The sequence below is a fragment of the Homo sapiens genome, chromosome 12 (assembly GCF_000001405.40).
Source record: "Homo sapiens chromosome 12, GRCh38.p14 Primary Assembly".
NCBI lineage: Eukaryota > Metazoa > Chordata > Mammalia > Primates > Hominidae > Homo > Homo sapiens.
Genome location: NC_000012.12, coordinates 40,168,016 through 40,191,529, shown reverse-complemented (window position 1 = coordinate 40,191,529; position 23,514 = coordinate 40,168,016). Strand labels below are relative to the sequence as shown.

Sequence of the window (23,514 nt, the reverse complement as noted above, 5' to 3'; positions counted from 1 at the left end):
TGGAGTCAGCTAAGTCAAATTTTCTTCACTGTCTCAGTTATAATTTTGCAATGACAGATCCATAACTTAAATGATAACTATCACAGTTTTCATAAACACTCTAGGTAAACATTTAAATAAAATAATTAGGTAAATGTAATAGGATAAATATTTGTACACAAACTTGTTAAAATTTAGAATCTAAAGTTATATTAAGTTAAATAATAGATATGTTATTATTTGGGTATTTTCCAATAAAAATATATTTGTAGGAAAACATTCTTTCAAAAAAAAAGGTGTGTCCTGTAAAAAAAAGGTGAGCAATTTTTGTCTAATTCAAAGCTTACTTAAAGGTCATGTATAAAACAAGGTAAAAGTGGCCGGGTGCGGTGGCTCACGCCTGTAATCCCAGCACTTTGAGAGGCTGAGGCAGGCAGATCACGAGGTCAGGAGATCGAGACCATCCTGGCTGACACGGTGAAACCCTGTCTCTACTAAAAATACAAAAAAATTTAGCCAGGCGTGGTGGCGGGCGCCTGTAGTCCCAGCTACCTGGGAGGCTGAGGCAGGAGAATGGCCTGAACCTGGGAGGCGGAGCTTGCAGTGAGCTGAGATCACGCCACTGCACTCCAGCCTGGGCGACAAAGCGAGACTCCATCTCAAAAAACACAAGGTAAAAGGAACCAGGAAATAAAAGAGATGTAAAGAAAGTTATAAAAATAAATAGGTTTTTCTTGCTAAGAAAGCTTTACGAGAAATAATTTCATATACAAAAGAATCTCCTGTATGGTAAATTTAGTCCTAGAGTAAAATGATTGCTTATTTAAGAAAGAGGGATGTTCAGAACAAACCATACAGTTGAAGCATGTCATGAATGGTCTGTGTAAGTTATAGTAAGAGGATTTAGTTTTTAGAAACCCCAAAGTTTTAAATAATCAAGTTGTCATATTATTATTAATATGGTTTGGTTTTCTTAGGAAAAAAACTGAAATTAATCTTTTTTTTTAGTTAAGGTTATTACATCCATGTATCTGTCTGTATGCACTTTTAAAGTACTTGTGAAATTGAGTTACAGGGCTTCGACTCCTGTGTCTAAAAAGAATACAAAGTCCTGCTAAATTTTAAACACTGATGGTAATTAAAGCCCCATCTTCAGGTCTGGTAGAAGACACCAATCAAAATAAACTGCATTCCTGAAACACAGACAGACGTTAAAGCTATTCAAGTCCTCAAGTCCCAGAGACTATTGAGGAAGAGGTGGGAGTGTGACATTGGAAGGGCTGATATTGAGAGATAAAGTAAGTTCAGTTTCTCTATAAATAAATAATTAATGTCAAAGGCACACTGATGCAATACCAGCATATAGGCCCATTTCAGATTAACAAGGTTTTCTTGAAGCATTTACCACCTCCTAAATAAAAGTTATGAAAGGCTTATGGAAGTTATATCTTATTGTTAAGATTAAAATTTTACAGATTGTTTATGAAATTTGGGAAAATAAATCTAATTGGCTTCATGTTGTTTTTATTAGGGCTTATTGTTTGGAAAATTCAGTCTCCTCTCTCAAAGAATGAAGGTTTTTACCTTTTTTTTGAAATTCTTGAGTTATCACTTTGGTCAAATAAATGATTTATTGTACAATTACCTGTGACATCAAGTGTTTTAAACCTTTGATATTTGACAAGCTTTCCAAAATAAAATTATAACATGTCTTTTTCTGACCTAACTGATCCTTTAAGACATTAGTTTCCCTAAAGTCCAAAAATGATATAATTTGGCTTATTTCGTATACAAATTATACAGGAAACATTGTCAAATATGAAATGACATTTGTTTTTCTTTAGGCTGTATTTGTACAAATATGTTACTGCTATGTGTTCCAAAATTATGGGAAACTTCTATGTTTCTGATGTGACTAAGTGTACATTATCAGTAATAATTATAATAGTGTACATTATCAGTAATAATTATAATTGTTATGTTAAATTATTGTGTGCCACAGAGGTAACAAATTTCCTTATCAATTGTGTTTTTGACTATGACTGCCATAAAACTTTTTGTCATCCATGGACAATTGTTGTCTTGTTTTGCTCCTCCTTAGAATGTGGTTTTATAATCAGCTATAGAACTCTAACAGGTGTCCTTAAAAGCAGGTTTCTGATAACTTTGGAGATTGTGACATTACAATGGAGGAAAAAACTTTCAATACTCTCATGGAGAGCTGAAATATTCATGAATATCAAGGAGAACAGGAGTAAACTGCATGAACTGAACTAATAGAAGACTAAAGTAATCTTTTTAACTTTTTGGTTAAAATATTGTTGATTCTTTATTTTGTTTTCCAGAGTCAAGAAAACTTTTAAGCTGTTTACAGCTTTTAATAATTGAGTAAGGTATACTCCTGTGAACAAAATTTGGAGCATATTTTTTTCTCTCTACCTGATTTCTCCAAAATTTGGAAACTATTTGTGAGTATTCTTAACTTATGACAATATAGTTATTTGCATAAGTGTAATAAGAATCTTTCATTTATAACAGGACATAATTCGAGAAACTGGTTATTTTACCAAGGCTTTTACTGAAATGGTGTGCTTTCCTTTAAGGAATGAAACTTGATTTATGGAGCAAATAAAAGACCCTTGGAAAAACTGGCCTCATACCTTTGTCTACATAGCCCCTGTACATGTTTTCTGACTTGTGGCAAGTAAGGATTGTCACTTTCTAACAGGAGCCAGGAGCCCTAAGTTTATCTTGGAACCTCAGGAGGAGAGGATCGTTGAACTCATAGGTATTTAATGGCACAAATCCATAGCCTGGCTCGGCTTTAGAAAGTCTTATCTGGGACTCTTTCTGTGGAACACAGTTCCATCAAATCGAATTTAAAAGCCTATGTAAGGCCAGCTACAGTGGCTTACACCTGTAATCCCAGCATTTTAGGAAGCCGAGACAGGCGGATTACTTGAGGTCAGGAGTTTGAGACCAGCCTGGCCAACATAATGAAACTCTTCCTCCACCAAAAATACAAAAAGTAGCCAGGTGTGGTGGTAGGCAACTGTAATCCCAGCTACTCAGGAGGCTGAGGCATAAGAATAATTTGAACCTGGGAGGCGGAGGTTGCAGTGAGCCAGTATCACTTCTCTGCACTCCAGCCTCAGTGACAGAGTGAGACTCCATCTCAAATAAATAAATAAATAAAATAAAAGCCTATGTAAAAAAATAATTATTCTTGCTGCACTGTATACAAATAATTAGACCCAGTATAATAAAACAAACCAGTCTTACCATGATTTGTCTTTAGTAAAAATGGGAAACTGGAGACAGAAAAATTATGTTTCAAAAACTATAGTACACCTGTTGTTAGATTCTAATCTTGCCTAATGTTTTTCCATTTTTATTATTTTCTACCATTTGGACCTAATTCTAATTTTTCTTGGCTACAACTCTTCAATATAGCATTTTTCATTTTTTCCCCTGCTTCTTTCCCCCATTTTTCCTAATTTGCAGTCACTGAAAACTAAGCTGTGCTTCTGTAAAGCCCTGTGAACTGAAGCTAGACAACTTAAACTTCAGAAGAAAATAACAGCAACCTATTTACATACATAAACAACTTTCATACCTATCTACTAATGTATGGACTTTAGAGTAATGTGGCCTATATCAATTTTCCAGGATTGTTCTTTTGTTTGTTGTTGTTTTTCTCCCTTCCTCTCTGTATTTTCTCTTCATAGAATATGAGACTTCACAACCTTCTAAAAATGACCTTTCCTAATAACTCAGGACCTACCTGTCTAGGAATAAACCATCCTAGCCATGAGAGATCAGACAAAACTTGGAACCTGAGGCTCATTTTCTTCTAAAATGCTTTCTCCAAAAGATTTTTAGAAAGAAAAGGGGGGAAATGTGAAAGGAAAATATCTTGGGCCCCCAAAAGCCCTAAGCTACAGGGAAAATTCAAGCTGGGAACTGCTTAGGGTCAACCTGCTTCCCATTCTATTCAAAGTCATCCTTCTGCTCACTGAGATAAATGCATATCTGATTGCCTCCTTTGGAAAGGCTAATCAGAAACTCAAAAGAATTAAACCATTTGTCTCTCACCAACCTGTGCCCTGAAGCCTGTCCCCTCTTTGAGTTGTCCCACCTTTGCTTCAAGTTGTCCCACCTTTGCTTCAAGTTGTCCCACCTTTCTGGACCAAATTAATGTTCATTTTACATATGTTGATTGATGTCTCATGTCTCCCTAAAATGTACAAAACCGAGCTGTGCTCTGACCATCTTGGGCACATGTTGTCAGGACTTCCTGAGGCTGTGTCACAGGTGTGTGTCCTCAACCTTGGCAAAATAAAATTCCTAAATTAACTGAGACCTGTTTCAGATCTTTGGGGTTCACATTACTGGGCAGTAACCAAGAGATCATTCTAATCTAATACCCTTTTCTAAATTAGGAAATTGAAACCCGGGGAAGGGAGGTGACTTTCACAAGGATGCCCTGTTGATAATAGCAAAGCTGAGATTAGGCTTTTATGTCTCTATCCAACCACCTATCCCAACTCTATTTAGAGGCCTCATATGGCACTCTGGCTGATAAGTGATGATTAATATATAATCCCTTTCAGTCTTGTTCCATTCATTCTCCAGATAACAGATGAAGTAACTTATTCTAAGGTGAAAAGAGTAGTAACTGTATATGCCTTACCACATCCACAGTGTTTGGATTTCTACTGATCATTCCCGGAAAGGAAAAGTCCCAAATCAAAGAATCAAATGTCTACATCACTGCTGTCAGATGTGGGAGATAATGAGAGCCAGGGACATTTTCCTGAACTTTCTAAAATTGTACGACCTAGATACCAACGATTCTACAATATCTGATCAGAAGTGACCCATCCATATATTTTTAATGATTAGTGATGACCTCAATAGTACATCAATTATCAAGTAGAAAATTGCCAACATGTTTTATCTAGAAGCATATCAAAGGATCCTTTTGATTCTTAAAATCACCTATAAGTGATCCTTTGCCTTCTCAACATAACTATTTTTTTTAAAACACTAACATCTATGAAAAAAAAAACTTAATATCTTGCTGTAACTTGGTTTCTCAGCTGAAAATTGTATCCTTAATTAAGGCTGCCTTGAGATTTAGGCCACTAGGTCATTGAAAAGGGTAAGCTTCATAACTAAAAGTGAAGGAAGAGCCTGGATATGTGGTCAACGATGTGCCTCAAGATAAATAACCTATTTCTTATTTTTTTCTCAATTTCTGAGACTCTTCTTACTGTTGGCAAAGTCACTGTAGCCCCAGAAGCAAAAGCTGTTGTTGCTCCATCTTTCCTGGAATCAATGCTTGCCTTTAATTCCCCTTTACAGATTCACCTCTAAGAATTTTCTTTGAATGTTCCTGGGATGGATGAAATGGGGGGAGTGAAGAAGATTTGTACTACTTCTAAAGCAGAGTTTACAATTCAAGCTCTGAAGAAGAAAAAATAAATAAACTTAAGTAAATGTAAACACAAGTTGAGGCACATTCAATAATGAACTCTAACTTTGCATTTAAAGGAAGAAAGATCTGCAGATAAATGAGGTCAAAAATCCCTGGGGCTGATGGTAAAGAGAATCTTGACAGCATCTCACTTCATCAAACAGAGCTTGAGAAAATTATCCATTCCAGATAAGCTTCTTTACCTTGATGGCAGTCATATAGCCAAGCTTAATGAGCAAAATTTCAAGCAAATACACTTTTTTTCCAATAATGTAAAAATAAAACAAGAATGCCTACACTTACTATCACTCATCATATATCTAAGCACACAATGTTAGAGGTGATTCCAAGGAATCATCTCTCATCTGTCCTCCCTACTGAAATCATCCCAAAGTAGAAAAGATCCTTTACTTATTTGCTTGTTTGTTTGTTTATTATTTTTTGAGACAGGGTCTCATTCTGTCACCCAGGCTGGTGTGCAGTGGCACAAACACAGACCACTGCAGCTTTGGCCTCTCCTGGCTCAAGTGATCCTTCCACCTCAGCCTCTCGAGTAGCTGGTATTACAGGTGAGTGCCACCAGCTCCAGCTAATTTTTGTAAAGACAGGGTTTCGCCGTGTTGCCCAGGCTGGTCTTGAATTCCTGGGCTCAAGTGATACACTCTCCTCGACCTCCCAAAATGTTGGGATTACAGGATCCTTTACTTTAAAATATCCTGGGGCTTTATCAATAACTCTGAAAAACTTTGTGAATTTTCTTGAACTGTGGACTTAAACATTCTTGTTTAATTTGGAGCTTATGAGTAAATATGTTAAAAAATAGTCCACCAGATAACTATCCTATGCCAGAAAACTTTAAAATCGTGAAGGGGAAGAAAATCATGTAATGTTACTATCTTTAACGGGAACAAAATGTAGTTAAGATTGCAACAGAATTTTCCATAAAATGCAAACATGGTGTGATAAGCACTTATTAAGTGCTCAACAAATATTTGTTAAATGAATGATTGCCTTATGGGAAGAAAGTGCCACTTAATGATAACAATATGCATGTTTGAAAGTAGAAAATTTTAGGAACTTGAAGAAACAACCAAATGTCAATATATGTTGAAATAGTACTATTAAACATGCAGTTGGTATATTGCCTCTTGCTTATGATAATTAATCCAATTAAATAAGGCAAGGAACCTTCATGAGAAGGTTTTGGAGAGGTCTTCAGATGTGGATAACTTTGTTGTTAAGACTTTGAGATACAGCTAAAAGCAGCAGAACTAGTTTTCCTGCTCATTTGGCATAAAATAATAAGTTTTAATAGAATTTAATTGGCCTAAAGGGCTCTCCTCCAAAGGACCACCTACCCACCAACTTTCAAATGAAGTTTCTTAGCATGAGGAGCAGGTGATGTAATGAGAAAAGCTCAGAGTTTGTATTCCAACACACTTAGGCACAAATCATGGCACTAACGTTTATTGTTGCAAGTGACCAAGGGCAAATAAATGTATTTTCTTATCGGAAAAATTGAGACAATAATATGTACCTTTCAGAACTCTTGTGAGGATTAGTGATAATATATGTAAAACTCCTAATATGTAAGTATTAAATAAATAATAGCTATTATCAAAATTATAAAAAATAATTTTAAAATGAGAAAACATTTAAAAATAAGACAAAATTATGGAATAATCGTTGGCTTAAAATAATAGCACTCAAGACTACAATTCTTCATATAAAACATAATCTAGAATCTGAAAGAATCTTTTCTACTCATTATACTGTAAATGAAAAGAGTCAAACTCTGTAAAATATTGGATGAGATTTATTTTGAGCCAAATGTGAGTGACCGGTGGCCCATGACACAGCCCCAGGAGATCCTGAGAACATGTGCCCAAGGTAGTTGGGCTACAGCTTGGTTTTATACATTTTAGAGAGACATCTAAAATGTACATTGGTTTGGTCCAGAAAGGCAGGACAATTGGAAGATGGTGTGGGGGACTTCCAGGTCATAGGTGGATTCAAAGATTTTCTGATTGGCAATGGGTTGGTTGAAAGAGTTATTATCTGAAGGCCTGGAATGAATAGAAATAAATGCCTGGGTTAAGATAAGGGGTTGTGGAAACCAAGGTTTTATCATGCAGTGAAGCCTCCATGTAGCAGACTTGAGAGCTCTTATCAGGCCTAAAAAGATGCCAGACTCTTAGTTAAGTCTCTCCTGGATGAGAGGAAAGACCTGGAGAGGAAGGGAGATTCTCTACAGAATGAAGACTTTCCTCACAAGAGACAGCTCTGCAAAACCATTTCCAGTTATGCCCAAGAAATGTATTTCGGGGTAAAATACTTTGATTTCTTTTTGGGCCTGCTATCTGTCATGTGATGCTATACTTGATGTCTTATTGCTACAAAAAGTCTGCCTTGTCAGTTTTACGATCTCTGTTTTAATGTTAATGCTGGTCAGTTGTGCCTGGATTCCAAAGAGAGGGGGGTATAATGAGGCATGTCTCATCCTCCCCTCTTCCCATCATGGCCTGAACTAGATTTTCAGGTTTACTTTGGAATGCAATTGGCCAAATGGCATCGGGGTTCCATCAGTTGGTTGTGGGGCTTAGAAATTTATTTTTGGTTTATAACACTGTTTTATCTTTTTCCATTTGTATTAAAAATTCAAGCTTACAAAAACATTGAAAGTAGTACAATGAATATCTGTATATCCTTCACCTAGATTCAGGAATTGATATTTTACCACATTTAGAGTCTCTCTCTCTCTCTCTCTGACTCTCTCTATATATACACATACACACATACATACACATACATGCATATATATATATTTACCTTTGGAAATAAGTTGAAAATATTATAATAACAACTCACTCCTAAATACTTCAGCATGCCTTTCCTAAGAATAAAGACATTCAGTGAACTCATTTATTTTAAGACACCAACCAGGAAAAATAAATGTAAACAAATTGTTAATTGTCATGCACTAAACTCATTTTCTTGAGTTGGAAATCTCTGCACTTTTCTTGGTACCAATCTGCAATTATGGGCTTGGTGGACCGTGGACTCTAATAAAGGCCTACTGAAAGCTTATAAAGTAAAATGTTTTGTGCAATAAGTAGTTTGAAAATGACCTATTTTATATAAGTTAGAGTTTTATCATCAGCAATACCATTCATGAAAATGTGCTTTACTATAGCAATATAATTGTGAAAAGACAGATGACTGTGAAGATGCATTCAAGACCTGAAGGCTGGCTTTCTGAACATCTTATGCACTGCTGACCTTCCCCTAGTCTTTGCTCTGTAGGGTTTCTACACAATACTGCTGTGCTGGAATAGCACCACCACACAATATCCCTTACCCCAGAGAACACCTTATAAAAAGGCGCTTTCACAATGTTGTTTTTTCCCCTCTGCCTTATCTCTGTATTCAACCTTTTCTTCTACCTTCATTTTTATTTATTTTATTTTATTTTATTTTATTTTATTTTGGAGACAGGGTCTTGTTCTGTCTTCCAGGCTGGAGTGCATTAGTGCAATCATTGTTCACTGCAGCCTTGACCTTCCAAGCTCAAGCAATCCTCCCAGCTCAGCCTCTCAAGTAGCTGGGACTACAGGTGCACACCGCCACACCTGGCTAATTGTTTTTATTTTTTTGTAGAAACAAGGTGTCCCTGTTTCCCAGGCTCGTCTTGAACTTCTAGGCCCAAGTGATTCTCCCACCTCAACCTCCCAAAGTGCTAGGATTACAGGCGTGAGCAACTGCATCTAGTTGCTTCTACCTTTATTGATGCACATTTCAGTCAATTCTACCTGAGACAACTTTTAAACATGTAAACTCACTTTGATTAATAATTTCCTCTCTCTTGAATTTAGTCACTTCCAGCTTTTGTTCAATTATCACAAAACGATCTCATTCCTTCTTGGTATCCTAGCCTTCCTCATTTGCTTCTCTTTTTTTTATTGTGAAACGAAATAATCCCAGTCACTACTAATGAACTAGTTAACCTTGAGCAAATTGCTTGAAGCCTCCTGGACCTCAATTTTCCCTCCTGGCGACCTGGGATAATTGAGTTCCATTTCCAAAGCCAGCACTGAGAGTCAGGTCGGCTTGTGTGAGGATAAGCAGGTGGATTCTGGCCTCAACCTGCCTAAGTGGATATTTCTGCTTCTTAATTACTAGTTTGATGGCTGTAAGTTACTTAGCTTATCATACCTCAGTTTCCTCATTTGTAAAGCAGATGTGTCAATAAGAGTACCTGCCTCATAAAGCTGAGTTAATATTTATACCCAGTAACCCTGCCTGTGACTGAAAAAAATATAACTTTTTTAACTGATGTGAAAATACACCCACATCAAAGAACAAACACCGGAAGCTCTGAGATAAGAGTGAACAATAAAGAACCAATGGGATCAAATGTCTAAAAGTATTGAGCATGTTTAAAATGTTTTATCAGAATAGATGACTGTAAATGTCTCCCACTACCTACTGAGAAACAAAAATAAAATCCTAATCTCCTTCCCCACCACACACCCACTGACTGAACAGACTCCCTCTTGGCTAAGGGTACACTGGAGAAACCTTCAAAGTGCATTCTTGGCCATGATGCAAAGGATGGTAGAACAGCTCCCTTTCCTTGCTAGCTGCCGTTAGGCTTTCTTCCATAGGGCTAAGCAGAAACCAGTTCTCTCAAAAGACTCACTGCATGGCAGTTTTCTTTGGTTTTTTGTGTTTTTTTTTGAGATGGAGTCTCGCTCTGTCACCCAGGCTGGAGTGCAGTGGTGCGATCTCGGCTCACTGCAAGCTCCACCTCCCGGGTTCTCGCCGTTCTCCTGCCTCAGCCTCCCGAGTAGCTGGGACTACAGGCGCCCGCCACCATGCCTGGTTAATTTTTTTGTATTTTTAATGGAGACGGGGTTTCACCATGTTAGCCAGGATGGTCTCAATCTCCTGACCTCGTGATCCACCCTTCTCGGCCTCCCAAAGTGCTGGGATTACAGGCCTGAGCCACCGCGCCCGTCCTGCATAGCTGTTTTCAACCAACCACCTGATGCTGCCTTTCGCTTTTGAGGTTTCAACAAAACAATCCACCAGCCTTCACTAGCGATAGGAGACCACTGACCACAGGGTGGCTCTAGCCAGTCTATGGAGGCTGCACAGTGAGACTCTTTGTGTTCTGTGCTTCACCTTTTGATATCAGAGGCCCAAAATTTCCACCCATAGATCATGCTAATGCTGCCATTTTTTTGTGCATGCTACTCATGACTGGATGAAGCTCAATTGGACATGTTCATGTTTTGCCTATCATAAATATTAATGGATCCTCCTAGAGTTTCATAAATATGGCTATTCAGCTACCATGCTCAGCACAAATTCCTATCCTTTTTGCTCCTCCTGTGAAGTGCAGTTTCTGGCTTCTGGCCAGAGGCTACTCTTCCCAGCCTTTCAAAATGGCCACCCTGCAGAGACTGCAGCCCGTTATGACAAATAAAGTTCTCCTTTCCAAATTTGTGAACCTTGGCATGTTCCAGTTGACACCACTTTCTTCTCATCCTCTAATCAAACCTGTCATCAGAAAGTTCATTAATCCGGGCAGGGTGGTGTAAGCACCCAAGGGCTTCACCTTGCCCACTGCTTAGAGCCAATTCATGAAGACAGGGGAATTGCAATAGAGAAAAAGTAATTCACACAGAGCTGGCTGTGTGGGAGGCCAGAGTTTTATTATTACCCAAATCAGTCTTTCTGAGCATTAGGGGAGCAGAGTTTTTAAGGGCAATTTGGTGGGTGGGAGAAAGCCAGTGAGCCAGGAATGCTGATTGGTCAGGGATGAAATAATAGGGATTGGAAGCTGTCTTCTTGTATTGAGTCAGTTCCTGAATGGGGCCCACAAGGTCAGATGATCCAGTTAATCAGTCTGGGTAGTGCCAGCTGATCCATCAAGTGCAGGGACTGCAAAATTTCTCAAGGATTGATCTTAGTAGCAGTTTAGGGAGGGTCAGATTCTTGCTGCAGCTGCATGACTCCTAAACCATAATTTCTAATCTTGTGGCTAATGTTAGCCCTACAAAGGCAATCTAATCCCCAGGCAAGAAGGTCTGCTTTGGGAAAGTGCTGTTACCTTCTTTGTTTTAAACTATAAGTTTCTCTTAAAGTTAGTTCAGTGTACACCCAGGAATGAACAAGGACAGCTTGGAGGTTAGAAGCAAGTTGGAGTCAGTTAAGATAGATCTCTTTCACTGTCTCAGTCACAATTTTTCAAATGTGGTTTCAGTGGTTCACACCTGTAATCCAGCATTTTGGGAGGTGGAGGTGGGAGGTGCCAGGAGTTTGAGATCAGCTTGGGCAACATAGGGAGACCCCATCTCTATCAGAAAATAGTAAATAAATAAGCAAGCCAAGCACGGTGTCACACACCTGTAGTTCCAGCTACTTAGGAGGCTGAGGTGGGAGGATCACTTGAGCCCAAAGTCAAGGCTGCAGTGAGCCATGATCGTGCCACCACATTCCAGCCTGGTGACAGAGCAAGACCCTGTCCCCAAAAAGAAAAAAAGAAAAAAAAATTGATTAAAATAAAATTCTCAATATATTTTTTTAAATTACTGTCATTGTAATTGTCTAATTTTTAAAAATGTCATTGTGTGTTATATCAGGTTCATCTGGGGAGGAAATTCACTTGGGGGCAGACATGGTTGGGGCTTAACCACAGTATCTATTATTTCTAGGTTCTCATTTTGTGAAAGTATGTATTTCCAAAGTTAAAAACAAGACCCTCATACAAATGCTAGTGAGCATACATCAAAGATATTTACCTGCTTAATGAGGGAACCAGAAGAATGGTAAAGTTGGTTCAAAAGAAGAAAGGAGAGACTAGTATATAAAAGTCAACGAAGAAAGAATGCTGAAAAAAGGTTGCTAAATCAGATTTTTAAAATACTGATTAATACCTGTCAGGGCAATAAAACTATAACTTTTGGGCTTTATCTCTTCTACTGGAAAGATAATATTTGTTTCTCTATGAGAAAAAAATAATTTACAACCCAACAGTCTTTGAGAAAGCAACGTCTAACTTTGCAGTCTGAGCGCCTGTTAACAGTAAAGAGTAAATCTGGCCAGGCACAGTGGCTCATGCCTGTGATCCCAGAACTTTGGAAGGCTGAGGCAGGGGGATCACTTGAGGTCAGGTGTTCAAGACTACCCTGGCCAACATGGTGAAACCCTATCTCTACAAAAAAAAAAATACAAAAAATGAGCCAGGCTTGGCAGCACGCACCTGTAGTCCCAACTACTTGTGAGGCTGGGCATGAGAATCCCTTGAACACAGGAGGTGGAAGCTGCAGTGAGCTGAGCTCGCACCACTGCACTCCAGCCTGGGTAACACAATGAGACTCCAACTCTCCAACTCAAAAAAAAAAAAAAAGTAAATTCAACGAAAGTTGCAACCTCTAAATGCTCTCATGCAGGCTGATTAGTATAACAGTGAAAGAACATTCAGTGACATTTTTGCCTTATCTTTAAGTCACGGCTAATTCATCTCAGATTTTTGAACAATTTACAAATAACTCTTTTTAAGACAATCCATCCAAAAATTGAGAGTCTTCTATACAAATGAAGTAGGTAAGCATGGCCCATGACTTTCGGTTTTGTATTTGGGAAGACAGTGTATACACATAGACAAAGCCCAATGATGTTTACAACACATGTTTTTAAAAGTTTAGTTTGATGTATGAATAAGTAGTTGGAATCAGTTCTAGCTTAATGCAAGTAATCAGAAAAACTATAAACATGATTTCTATACTTAAAACATTAAACATCAACTTTTTGAAGAAAGTACATAGCTTCAAAGTGCATACCATGTACTATACATTTTAAACTATGTATTTATTTTTATTAAATTCAGAGTTCATTCCAAAAATTATCTCAGTCTAAATTCAGTGCTTATGCAAAGTCACTAATTTTGAAGTCTCCTCTTCTGCCTCCTCCATACATATAGAATAGAAGCACTAGAAAAGCATGGCTTTTTCTTTGAAGAGATAAAATTCATATGCAAGCATAGTGTATGAAAAGATATATATTCCACAGGAATCTCTTCTTTTTTTAGTTTTACCGAAAGCAGTATTTTTGCAGTTATACATTCCAATATTATAATACCATGCAAGTGAAATGAGCAATTCTAGTTTTGGAGAAATTTTCTTTCAAATTCCTTTAAAACATGTCCATATCTTTTTTTTTTTTTTTAAATCTGTGCTTAAATAAAAAACAAAATCTGAAATGTTTGCAAAAGACTTCCACACATAGTTTACCTTACTACACTGTAGGAAATGAAGCCTTGAGTTAAACCTTTTGTAGAAAAGGTCTCATACATATCAATGAGGAAACACAAAGACAACAATGGTGAAAAAGCTAAGGGTGTGAACAGAAAACTAAAAAGAAGAGCTACTGCTCAGAGGACTTAAGGACTTAAAGTCATGGCACTCAAGAAAAGCAAACTAAAACAAAATATCAATATTCATCTTAATTAGCATGTTAGGTGTTTGTTGTTGTTGCTTGTTTGTTTTAGACAGAGTCTCACTCTGTTGCCCAGGCTGGAGTGCAGTAGGGTAATCTCGGCTCACTGCAACTTCCACCTCCCATATTCAAGCAATTATCCTGCCTCAGCCTCCCGAGTAGCTGGGACTACGGGCGCACACCACCATGCCCGGCTCATTTTTGTATTTTTAGTAGAGATGGGGTTTTGCCACGCTGGCCAGGCTGGAGGCTAGAAACCTCTAATCAATGTGTCTGCCGGGACATGCTCTCTCTAAAGGTACTAGGACAAGATCCTCTTTTGCTTCTTTCTGCATCTAGTGTTTACTGGCAATCCTTGACTTAAATTTAGCCTAAAGCTGCCTCTTTACATATTTTAAGTTTGAAAACACCTTTGCAAAGATTATGGCAGTAAAAGAAGTCTGACATGGGCCAGGTGCGGTGGCTCACGCCTGTAATCCCAGCACTTTGGGAGGCCGAGACGGGCGGATCATGAGGTCAGAAAATAGACCATCCTGGCCAACACGGTGAAACCCCGTCTCTACTAAAAATACAAAAAATTAGCCAGGCGCAGTGGCAGGCGCCTGTAGTCCCAGCTACTCCGGAGGCTGAGGCAGGAGAATGGCGTGAACCCGGGAGGCGAAGCTTGCGGTGAGCCAAGATCGCGCCACTGCACTCCAGCCTGGGCGACAGAGCGAAACTCCGTCTCAAAAACAACAACAACAACAAAACAAAACAAAACCCAAAACACCCTAGCCTCTGAGTTCTTAGACTGATTTGAATGATAACTCCAGTTCTCCCATATGCCTGGGCTTGTGTCAATTAAACTCTGTCTTTATTGCAATGCCATGGTCTCAGTGAATTGATTTTTGTCTGTATAGCAGTGTAGCAAGCAGGAAGAACTGATTAGGTGACGTCAAGTTCAGCCTAAAGGTTTCTCCATACATAGTGAACAGTAGCTAACTGTACGTGTAAACAGAGTGTAACTTACTCTTCCAACAGTCACAGAGATTTAGCACATCATTGGTAGCCAACTGTTCAAACCCTGCTTAAATAAGAGAAATGCCAAGCTATAGCCAATCCAGCTGTTTCTGTACCTCACTTCCAATTTCTGTAGGTCAGTTTCCTTTTTCTTTCCATAAATCCTCTCCAACCACATGGTAGTGTGGTGCTAGATTGTCTCTGAGCTTGTTCTGATTGAAGGGGTAGGGCTGCCCAATTCACAAATCATTATTTGCCCAAACAAGCTGTATTACATTTAATTTGTCTAAAGTTTTTCTTTCAACACTTAGCATTTCTTGGCTTGCAGCTGCATCACTCCAATTCCTGCCTCCATCTATATACAATGTTCTTTCGACTGTGCATGTGTGTTCACGTTTCCCTCTTCTTACAAGTACACCAGTCATTGAATTAGAGACCACCCTAATTGAGTATGACTTCAGTGTAACTTGATTGCATCTACAAAGGTCCTATTTCCAAATAAGGTCATATTCTGAAGTTGTCTCCAGGGAGACACAACTTTGTGCTATTCAACCTGTATAATTAACAAGAATTTTTACTTAATGATCTGTCCACTGTTTGGAATCAAACAGTGTTCATCTGTCACTCTACATCCAAACAGCCGCAGCCTGACATTTTCGCCTTCTGAATCTGACTTTTCCTCACCATTACCTCTCCGTCTGTCTCTATGTTCTCTCCTCCACACCACACCAGGATGACCCTTCCAAACCTCAATCATGGAATGTCACCCCTTTGCTCAAAATCTGTCTAGAGCTTCCCATCACGCTTAGAATGAAGTACAAAGATTTTGCCAGGTCTTACAAGGCCTTACATACTCTATACCCTGGGTCCCTCTATGACCTCATTTCTAACCCACTTCACTTTGTTCACTCTTCTCAGGTAGCTCTGACCTTTACGTAGATTCTCTCTGTTACCACCTCTCATCATTTTCACTTGCTGTTTCCTGTCTGGAATTTTCTCCCTCAACACTTTACCATGGCTGGCTAATTCACTGTGTCCAGATCTCTGCTCAAATGCCACTTCTTCCATAAGTTCTTCCTTTTAGTGAGTTATAGGTATGCAGTACTGGAACATATGCAGGAGTACAACCTAAATAGGAAACGAAGCACTACCTGATTAAACCAGACCAGCAGGCTTCACCCCTCCAAATTTGATGTTTCTAGTAAACTGCATTGGAGAACGCAGTTTAGATCTGAAGCAGAAGTGAGACTTCCTAGTCCCTTTCCTCTGAACTGAAGGCAGCTGATTCCATAGCCTGGGCCCAATATGAATTGATCACCCAGTTGCAGGAAGTTGTATCTGAGTCAGAGAACAGTGGTTCTCTCTTCTATGTGGGTAGGCCTGCCAGGTATAAATACCACTCAGCCACACCAAACACAATGGAGCCACTTGTGCCTGGATGCAAAAAGTAAACTAAGTGTGGCATATCCTCCAGCTTGAACCATAAAGCATAAAGAGCCTACCCAACAATCAATATGTATCAATGAATGTCAAGTTCTAAGTTACCAGAATTACCATCTCTTCTATGAGACAGTATTATAGGTTGAATTGCGCCCCACCAAAAAATGTTTAAGTACTAAACCCGAGAACCTACGGATGTGATCTTCTTTGGAAATAAGGTCGTTGCAGATGTAATCAATGTAAGATGAGATTGACCTAGCACAGTGGCTCACACCTGCAATCCCTGCACTTTGGGAGGCTGAGGTGGGTGGTTCACAGTTCAAGAGATCGAGACCATCCTGGCCAACATGGTGAAACCCCATCACTACTAAAAATACAAAAAATCAGCTGGGCGTGGTGGCATGCACCTGTAGTCCCAGCTACTCAGGAAGCTGAGGCAGGAGGATCACTTGAACCCAGGAGGCAGAGGTTTCAATGAGCTGAGATCGTGCCACTGCACTCCAGCCTGGCAACAGAGCAAGACTCCATCTCAAAAAACAAACAAACAAACAAACAAAAAACAATGTAAGATAAGATCGTACTGGATTAGTGTGTACCCTGGTGCAATGACTTGTGTCCTTATAAGAAGAGATACATTAGGACACAGAAACACACAGGTGGGCAAAAGACCATGTGAAGACAGAGGCAGAGATTGGTATGATGCAGCTGCAAAGCCAGGAATGAATGCCAACTGCCAGCACCCACCAGAAGCTAGGAAGAGGCAATGAAGGATACTTTCCTAGAGCCTTCAGAAGAAGGCATGGCCCAACCAACACCTTGATTACAGAATACTAGCCTCAAGAACTATGAAATAATAATTATGAAATAATAAGGCACCCAGTTTGTGGTACTTTGTTATGGCAGCCCTAAGAATCTAATGCAGGATTGAAAAAGGAATGGATTGGAGAGAAAATATGGAAGTGTTCCTTCCCTTCCAACTCTCCCTCAAGTGGGGAAAGATATTTTTGTAGAAGTTTTATTAAACCTATTAGTAGAAGCAAAAATTCAGGAGAAAAACAGGGAAGTTCTCACTCTCCAATATTTTATTTCTTCATATCCCATTGGGTGAAATAGCCAAGCCTATGTTTGGGCATGCATTTCTCTTGGGGAGACCAGCTGAGCATCTGGGCCAGCCTTCCCCACCTTCATGAGCCTGCTTATGTCTGTTCCCCTGTGTCTTCCTTACTCAGTGAACTGGGGAGTTTAGCACTGGACCCAGTGATCTTTGAAATAGGTCAGAAAGAGACAGAAATTATCTAATTCTATAGACATGGTACAACCTACGCCAAAAAATCGTTTTCTATTTCCTATTTCAAAATGTACTCAGCCATTAGTCTTAAAACACTCACCAGAGATTGGTTATGAAATAACATCCTCAGCCCAGTTTTTAAATGAACCTTTCACTTCCATTATTAAATCCCAGAAAGAAATTAAAGTCCAAAAGTAAAGTTTCTGTCCATATTTTAAATTTAAGTTTAAAGAAATTGAAGCTCAGTATTGTTTCCTTTCTAATTCTGTTTTCACCTCAGTCTCAGCATCAGGGTCTACCTGGTGCCTATGGCCAGGACTACCTTCTCCTGGAATGGCTTAGTTCCTTCAATCTTTTAAGAGTTGATTTAATCCAACATAGTCTCATGTGTCGCACTGGTGAGAGGACAACTCAGGAGGTTTTGGGTTTTGGGTTTTCCCTGGGTTCTTCCAGGGAAGTCATTCTAGTTTGTTTCTTGTGATCTTGTCTCTTTTATTATTAGCAGTAGTAGTATTGTTAAAATTAATAATAATATTACCATTATTGTAATTCATATAATAGCATATTTATGCTTTAGGCACTAGTCTAAGACTTTTAGACATTTTATCTCATTTAATCTTTCCAACAATCTTGGGAGATCCAATTCTTAATATTCCTGTTTTATAGATGAGGAAACAATGGCACAGAGACTTAACCAATAACAGCAATAGCTGAGGTCCGAATCCTGGCAGTGTGGCTCCAGAGGTCACAGTCTTAACGATTATACAACATTGCTTTTACAAACCATGTTTGATTTGGGGGGGATCCAGTCATAAATTTTGATCAAGAGACAAATAAATTTGACCTCTTTTTCTGAGCAACATGTTTCAAAACAGTTGGATGGGCATATCTCATTAACTTATTTTTTTTCTTTTCCAGCTTGACATCTAAGTTCTCAACATTTTTCTTAATTGCCTGTGCTTCTTTTAGTTCCATCAACAAGACTTCTTTCATTTGTGCTTTGGAGTGTTGCCACTCTTTCTAGAACAACTAGTTTTCTTTCATATCTGACTTGCCTTTAACATTTTCCATGAGATGTACAAATACATATATATCTATGTAAAATCATTATTTAAAGTATCTAAAGAAAGTATCTAAAGAAATAATGATCAAGTACAAAGTTCACTAATTTTTTTTTTTTTTTTTTTTTTTTTTTTTTTTGAGATGGAGTCTCACTCTGTTGCCCAGGCTGGAGTGCAGTGGCGCAGTCTTGGCTCACTGCAACCTCCACCTCCCGGGTTCAAGTGATTCTCCTGCCTCAGCCTTCAAAGTAGCTGGGATTACTGGCACCCAGCATCAACTCCAGCTAATTTTTGTATTTTTGTAGAGACAGGGTTTCACCATTTTGGCCAGGCTGGTCTTGAATCCTGACCTCAGGTGATCCACCTTTCTCACCCTCCCAAAGTGCTGAGATTACAGGCGTGAGCCACCGTGCCCAGCCGAAAGTTCACCATTGTTAAGCGACATTGTTTTGTGTTTTTTTAGATGCAGGTACTTCAACCAATTCTTTTTATTTCATATTCTTCATATGATGGAGTTGTTTTTTTTTTTTTTTTTTTTTTTTTTTGAGACGGAGTCTCGCTCTGTCACCCAGGCTGGAGTGCAGTGGCGCCATCTCGGCTCACTGCAAGCTCCGCCACTCAGGTTCATGCCATTCTCCTGCCTCAGCCTCCCGAATAGCTGGGACTACAGGCACCCGCCACCACGCCCGGCTAATTTTTTATATTTTTAGTAGAGATGGGGTTTCACCGTGTTGGCCAGGATGGTCTCTATCTCCTGACCTCGTGATCCGCCCGCCTCAGCCTCCCAAAGTGCTGGGATTACAGACATGAGCTACCGCGCCCAGACGATGGATTTTTTAATAAAGTATCAAAAGCTTTTTCAGAGAACTTTATTTCTTTGAGGGAATCCCAAGTATGAAAGGTAGTCAATTGAAAATATAACAAAAAACAACCTACATAGATATATGCCATTTCTGAGATCAAAGAACTTCTTTAATCCATTCCCTTTTACAAATGTTTTTTAAAAGAAAAATCTATGTGCTTTATTATGACACCAACCATGGTCATTGCCCAAGTCCTTTAAAAAAAAACCACAAGTCCTGGCAGTTGTCCATATTCTGTCTGATATTTCCCTATGCACCCAGTTCCGATAGGCAGTTTTCTCAGTTGAAAGAGGATGAGTTAGGAAAAGTCTGATTTTGGAGTCAAGCTTCCACTTATACCTCCACAGTTATTTTCAAAAAAACTTACACAATTCTAAATCATGCAAACCATTGTATTTCATAGTATGTATATTGTACAAATAGCAAATAAGTCTATCCATTGTATAAGAAGTTAAAATTTTTTATGGCAGTTCTCTTCTGAAATTCCTTTTAGTTAGCAGTTTAACCATCTTTTAAAAGGAGAAAATAATATAAACTCACAAAAAAGTTGTGGGGAGGTTTTCAGATTATACAATCTATTTTTATCTAAGACCTACAGCAAAGTTGTACTTTCCCTTTTAAATGAAAACTATATTTCTCTTTCACTAACCTTTGAGTTGGGTTTTTCCATAGCAATTTTGTTCAGAAAAAAAAAAAAGAAGCGATTATGTTATGATGTAAAAACTAACTGGTATCATAAGCTTTTAGAATTTACTGAGTACTAGAATTTGACTTTCATTTCTCTCCTTCAACTTCTAATTTAATAAACTTAAATTTGTATGTAGCTGTTCATCACAGTATAACAAATTACCCCAAAACTTAGGCGACTTTAAAACAATAGAAATTGATTGTTCTCACAGTTTCTGTGGGTCAAAACATTTGGGAACACATTAGTTGGACAATTCTGGCTTTGGGTCTGTCATGAGGTTGCAGTCAGGAAAGTGAGTGCCAGTCATCTGAAGGCTTGACTGGGCTGGAGGTTCCACTTCAGAGGTGGCTCACTCGCATGATTGCCACGTTGTGGCTGGATTTTGGCAGGAGGCCTCCCTTTATCCCCATGTGAGCCTCTCCACGGGCTGCTTGAGTGTCCTCATGACATAGCAGATGGCTGACTCTCCCCAGGGCAAACAATACAAGAGAGAGGAGCGTGGCATCAGCAATGTCATCTATGACCTAGTCTCAGAAGTCGGATGCTGTCACTTCTGCCACATTCTTGTTAGAAGCTAGTCACTAATTCTAGATTATTTTCAAGAGAAGGGAAATTAGGCTCCAATTATTAAAGGGAAGGATGCCAAAAATATGTGGACATATTGTTAAACCACTAAAGTATTACTTACTTTATCCCTTACTTATTGTAAAGAAAATTTAACATAAACCTAAAATTCTAGTAATAGGTAATTTATCTTATTCTCAAAATATTTCCCCAAACTTTTTCAAGAAACTTAACAACGCTATATATCCTGAAAAATCTTTCTCATATTTTTATTATTTTTCAGCGTAGAGGCCTATTTCTGTTTGCACCATGAATACAATAGTTGTTAAGCATACTAATGTTTTGACGTACTAGATTGTGAAATTCTTTACTAGGATTTGAGACCTGAGATTTGTTATTGCTGTTGTTGATCATTTACCTCTACAGGCTCAGAGTCTGCATTGTGTCTGTTACTTGGTCAGCACTCAATAAATGTTGAATAAATACATGAAACATCTATATTCCTTTGTTTTGTTCATTATTCCTTGATCTAGCATTTCCCATCATATTCATAAAAGAAAATAAGGCATTTTATGAAAATATTATAATGTGTGCCCTAGAAAGTTGTGGAGATATATGATAATTTATATCTATATATGATAATTATAGATAGCTAAATGGAGAGAATGGAATATCTGAGAATATGATTATGGGACGGTTGGTCATGGCAATGTCTAAGACCATAGAAGTGGGAAGTTGGCATGAGGTGGAGGACAAGATCATTGAAGGAGAAATAAAATAACTGAGAGGCCAGATTTCTCATAAGTATACTGTAAGACAGACTCCAGAAAACCATTTATACCTAGAATTCTCTATTCATCCAAATAATTAATCAGATATGAGCAAAAATCAAAGATCTGTTAGCATGCAAGAACTTAGAGAGCAAACTACCCATATACCATAAATAAAAGTAGACTAGGCTAGACTACAGAAAAATAAAATATATAACCCCAAACAAACCAAAGTGTTGTCCCCAAAATGCCAGCACCTGAGTATGACTCAAAAGAAGTAAAGAAAGCTAGAAAAATATTAAAATAAAATTTATTATATTCAGGCACTTGTGAAATTTTTCTTCAAGTGGTAAAGTTTAAATGACATGGTATCATATTTTCTCTTTTCTTTGACATCAATCACATGACACCATGAATTCTACAGTGGATTAATCCTTCCATGCTTTGTACATAAGTTGATTATACAAATTGAAGTCAAATACTCAATACTTATAATTTGAGATATGAAAAATAGTTTCAGCAAAAATATAAGAATTATAATTCTTGACAGTGTAAAACAATTATATAACTAAAAGACAATCAAGAACAGAGATGGAAAGAAGTCCAAAGTAAGTGCATTAATTTATTCATCTTTCAGAGTAGAAGATAGTAGCTATTTCAATACAAATAGGGAGTTCAAATGCATCATTCAAGGAGAACTAATATTGAGGCTATAAACAATAATTTTGAAAGTAGAAGTGCAAGTAAACTAAATTCCTCATACTTCATAGCAGGTAAATGCAGCAACAAAGCGAGGTAAATGATTACCATATTTAGTTATAACCATAACCACAAAAAGAGCAAAAACAAACCACTGAGAGTAGACGCCTTTGGAAAATGAAACAGAGCACAGGGCTTAAGAAGAATGATTAGTATATATTTTCTGCTCTTTCAATTCCTTAAATTAAAAAAAAAAACTTTGAAATATATGTTTTTTCAATCCTTTTGAAAAGTGAACTCTAAAGAATCTGGAGAGTGGGGGAGTATTTGGGGTGGGAAGAAAGCCACATGATTAATTTCAAACGTACTTCCTTGTGTGTCCTTTTAGGATATAAACAATTGCAGGTTTACTTAGATTTATATGGACTTAAATCATTTTATCCTATTGTGGCAATAATGAATAAATATCACTGTTTTTTTTTCTTTTGAGGCAGAGACTCATTCAGTCGCCAAGGCTGGAGTGCAGTGGCACGATCTCAGCTCACTGCAAGCTCTGCTCCCTGGGTTGAAGTGATTCTCCCTCCTTAGCCTCATCAGTAGCTGGGACTACAGACATGTGCCACCACAGCAGGCTAATTTTTGTATTTTTAGTAGAAACATGGTTCACCATGTTGGCCATGCTGGTCTCAAACTCCTGACCTCATGTGATCTGCCCACCTTGGCCTCCCAAAGTGCTGGGATTACAGGCGTGAGGCACTGTGCCCTGCCTAAATATAACTATTCTTTAACTTTAAAAATTACCTGCTAATCTCACTTTTTCGTCTCTCTTTTTTTTATCATTATTGGTAGTGTCAAAATGTCCTTTTTCAAAAATAAGTAAGAAAGAGAGAGGGGAAAGTCAGAAACTCAGAGATCAAATCGAAGTTTGAAAAAAGAAGATCTGAGAGTTTGTCGTACAGAATAGAAACAAGATGAGTCATAAACAGCATCTATTGCCATAATGATAAAGCATGTATTTTAAAGTAATTTTGCTATCAATGTGGTTTTTAACATATCTCAGTGGGACATTCATAAACATATTTATCAAACACTGTCAAATAAGTTTTGTTATTAGATGATTCTTGATGTTGCATTTTGTAATAAATTATGAATAATTAAATAAATGTAACAAATTAATTATAA

The 23,514-nt window shown here is 38.1% G+C and overlaps 1 long non-coding RNA gene across 2 annotated transcripts in view; it reads left to right on the top strand.

Annotated features, from left to right (window-relative positions):
• The window catches only part of LRRK2-DT (LRRK2 divergent transcript), an 82,057-nt gene that overhangs the window by 32,293 nt on the left and 26,250 nt on the right, over positions 1-23,514 (top strand). Inside the window, exons 2-4 of one of the 2 annotated variants that reach the window (NR_186756.1) lie at positions 1,136-1,277; positions 2,325-2,447; positions 5,909-6,027. The exons of the other annotated variant lie outside the window; for it this stretch is intronic. This is a non-coding gene — a long non-coding RNA (LRRK2 divergent transcript). The remainder of the gene's footprint in view (positions 1-1,135; positions 1,278-2,324; positions 2,448-5,908; positions 6,028-23,514) is intronic. 2 annotated transcript variants of the gene reach the window in all.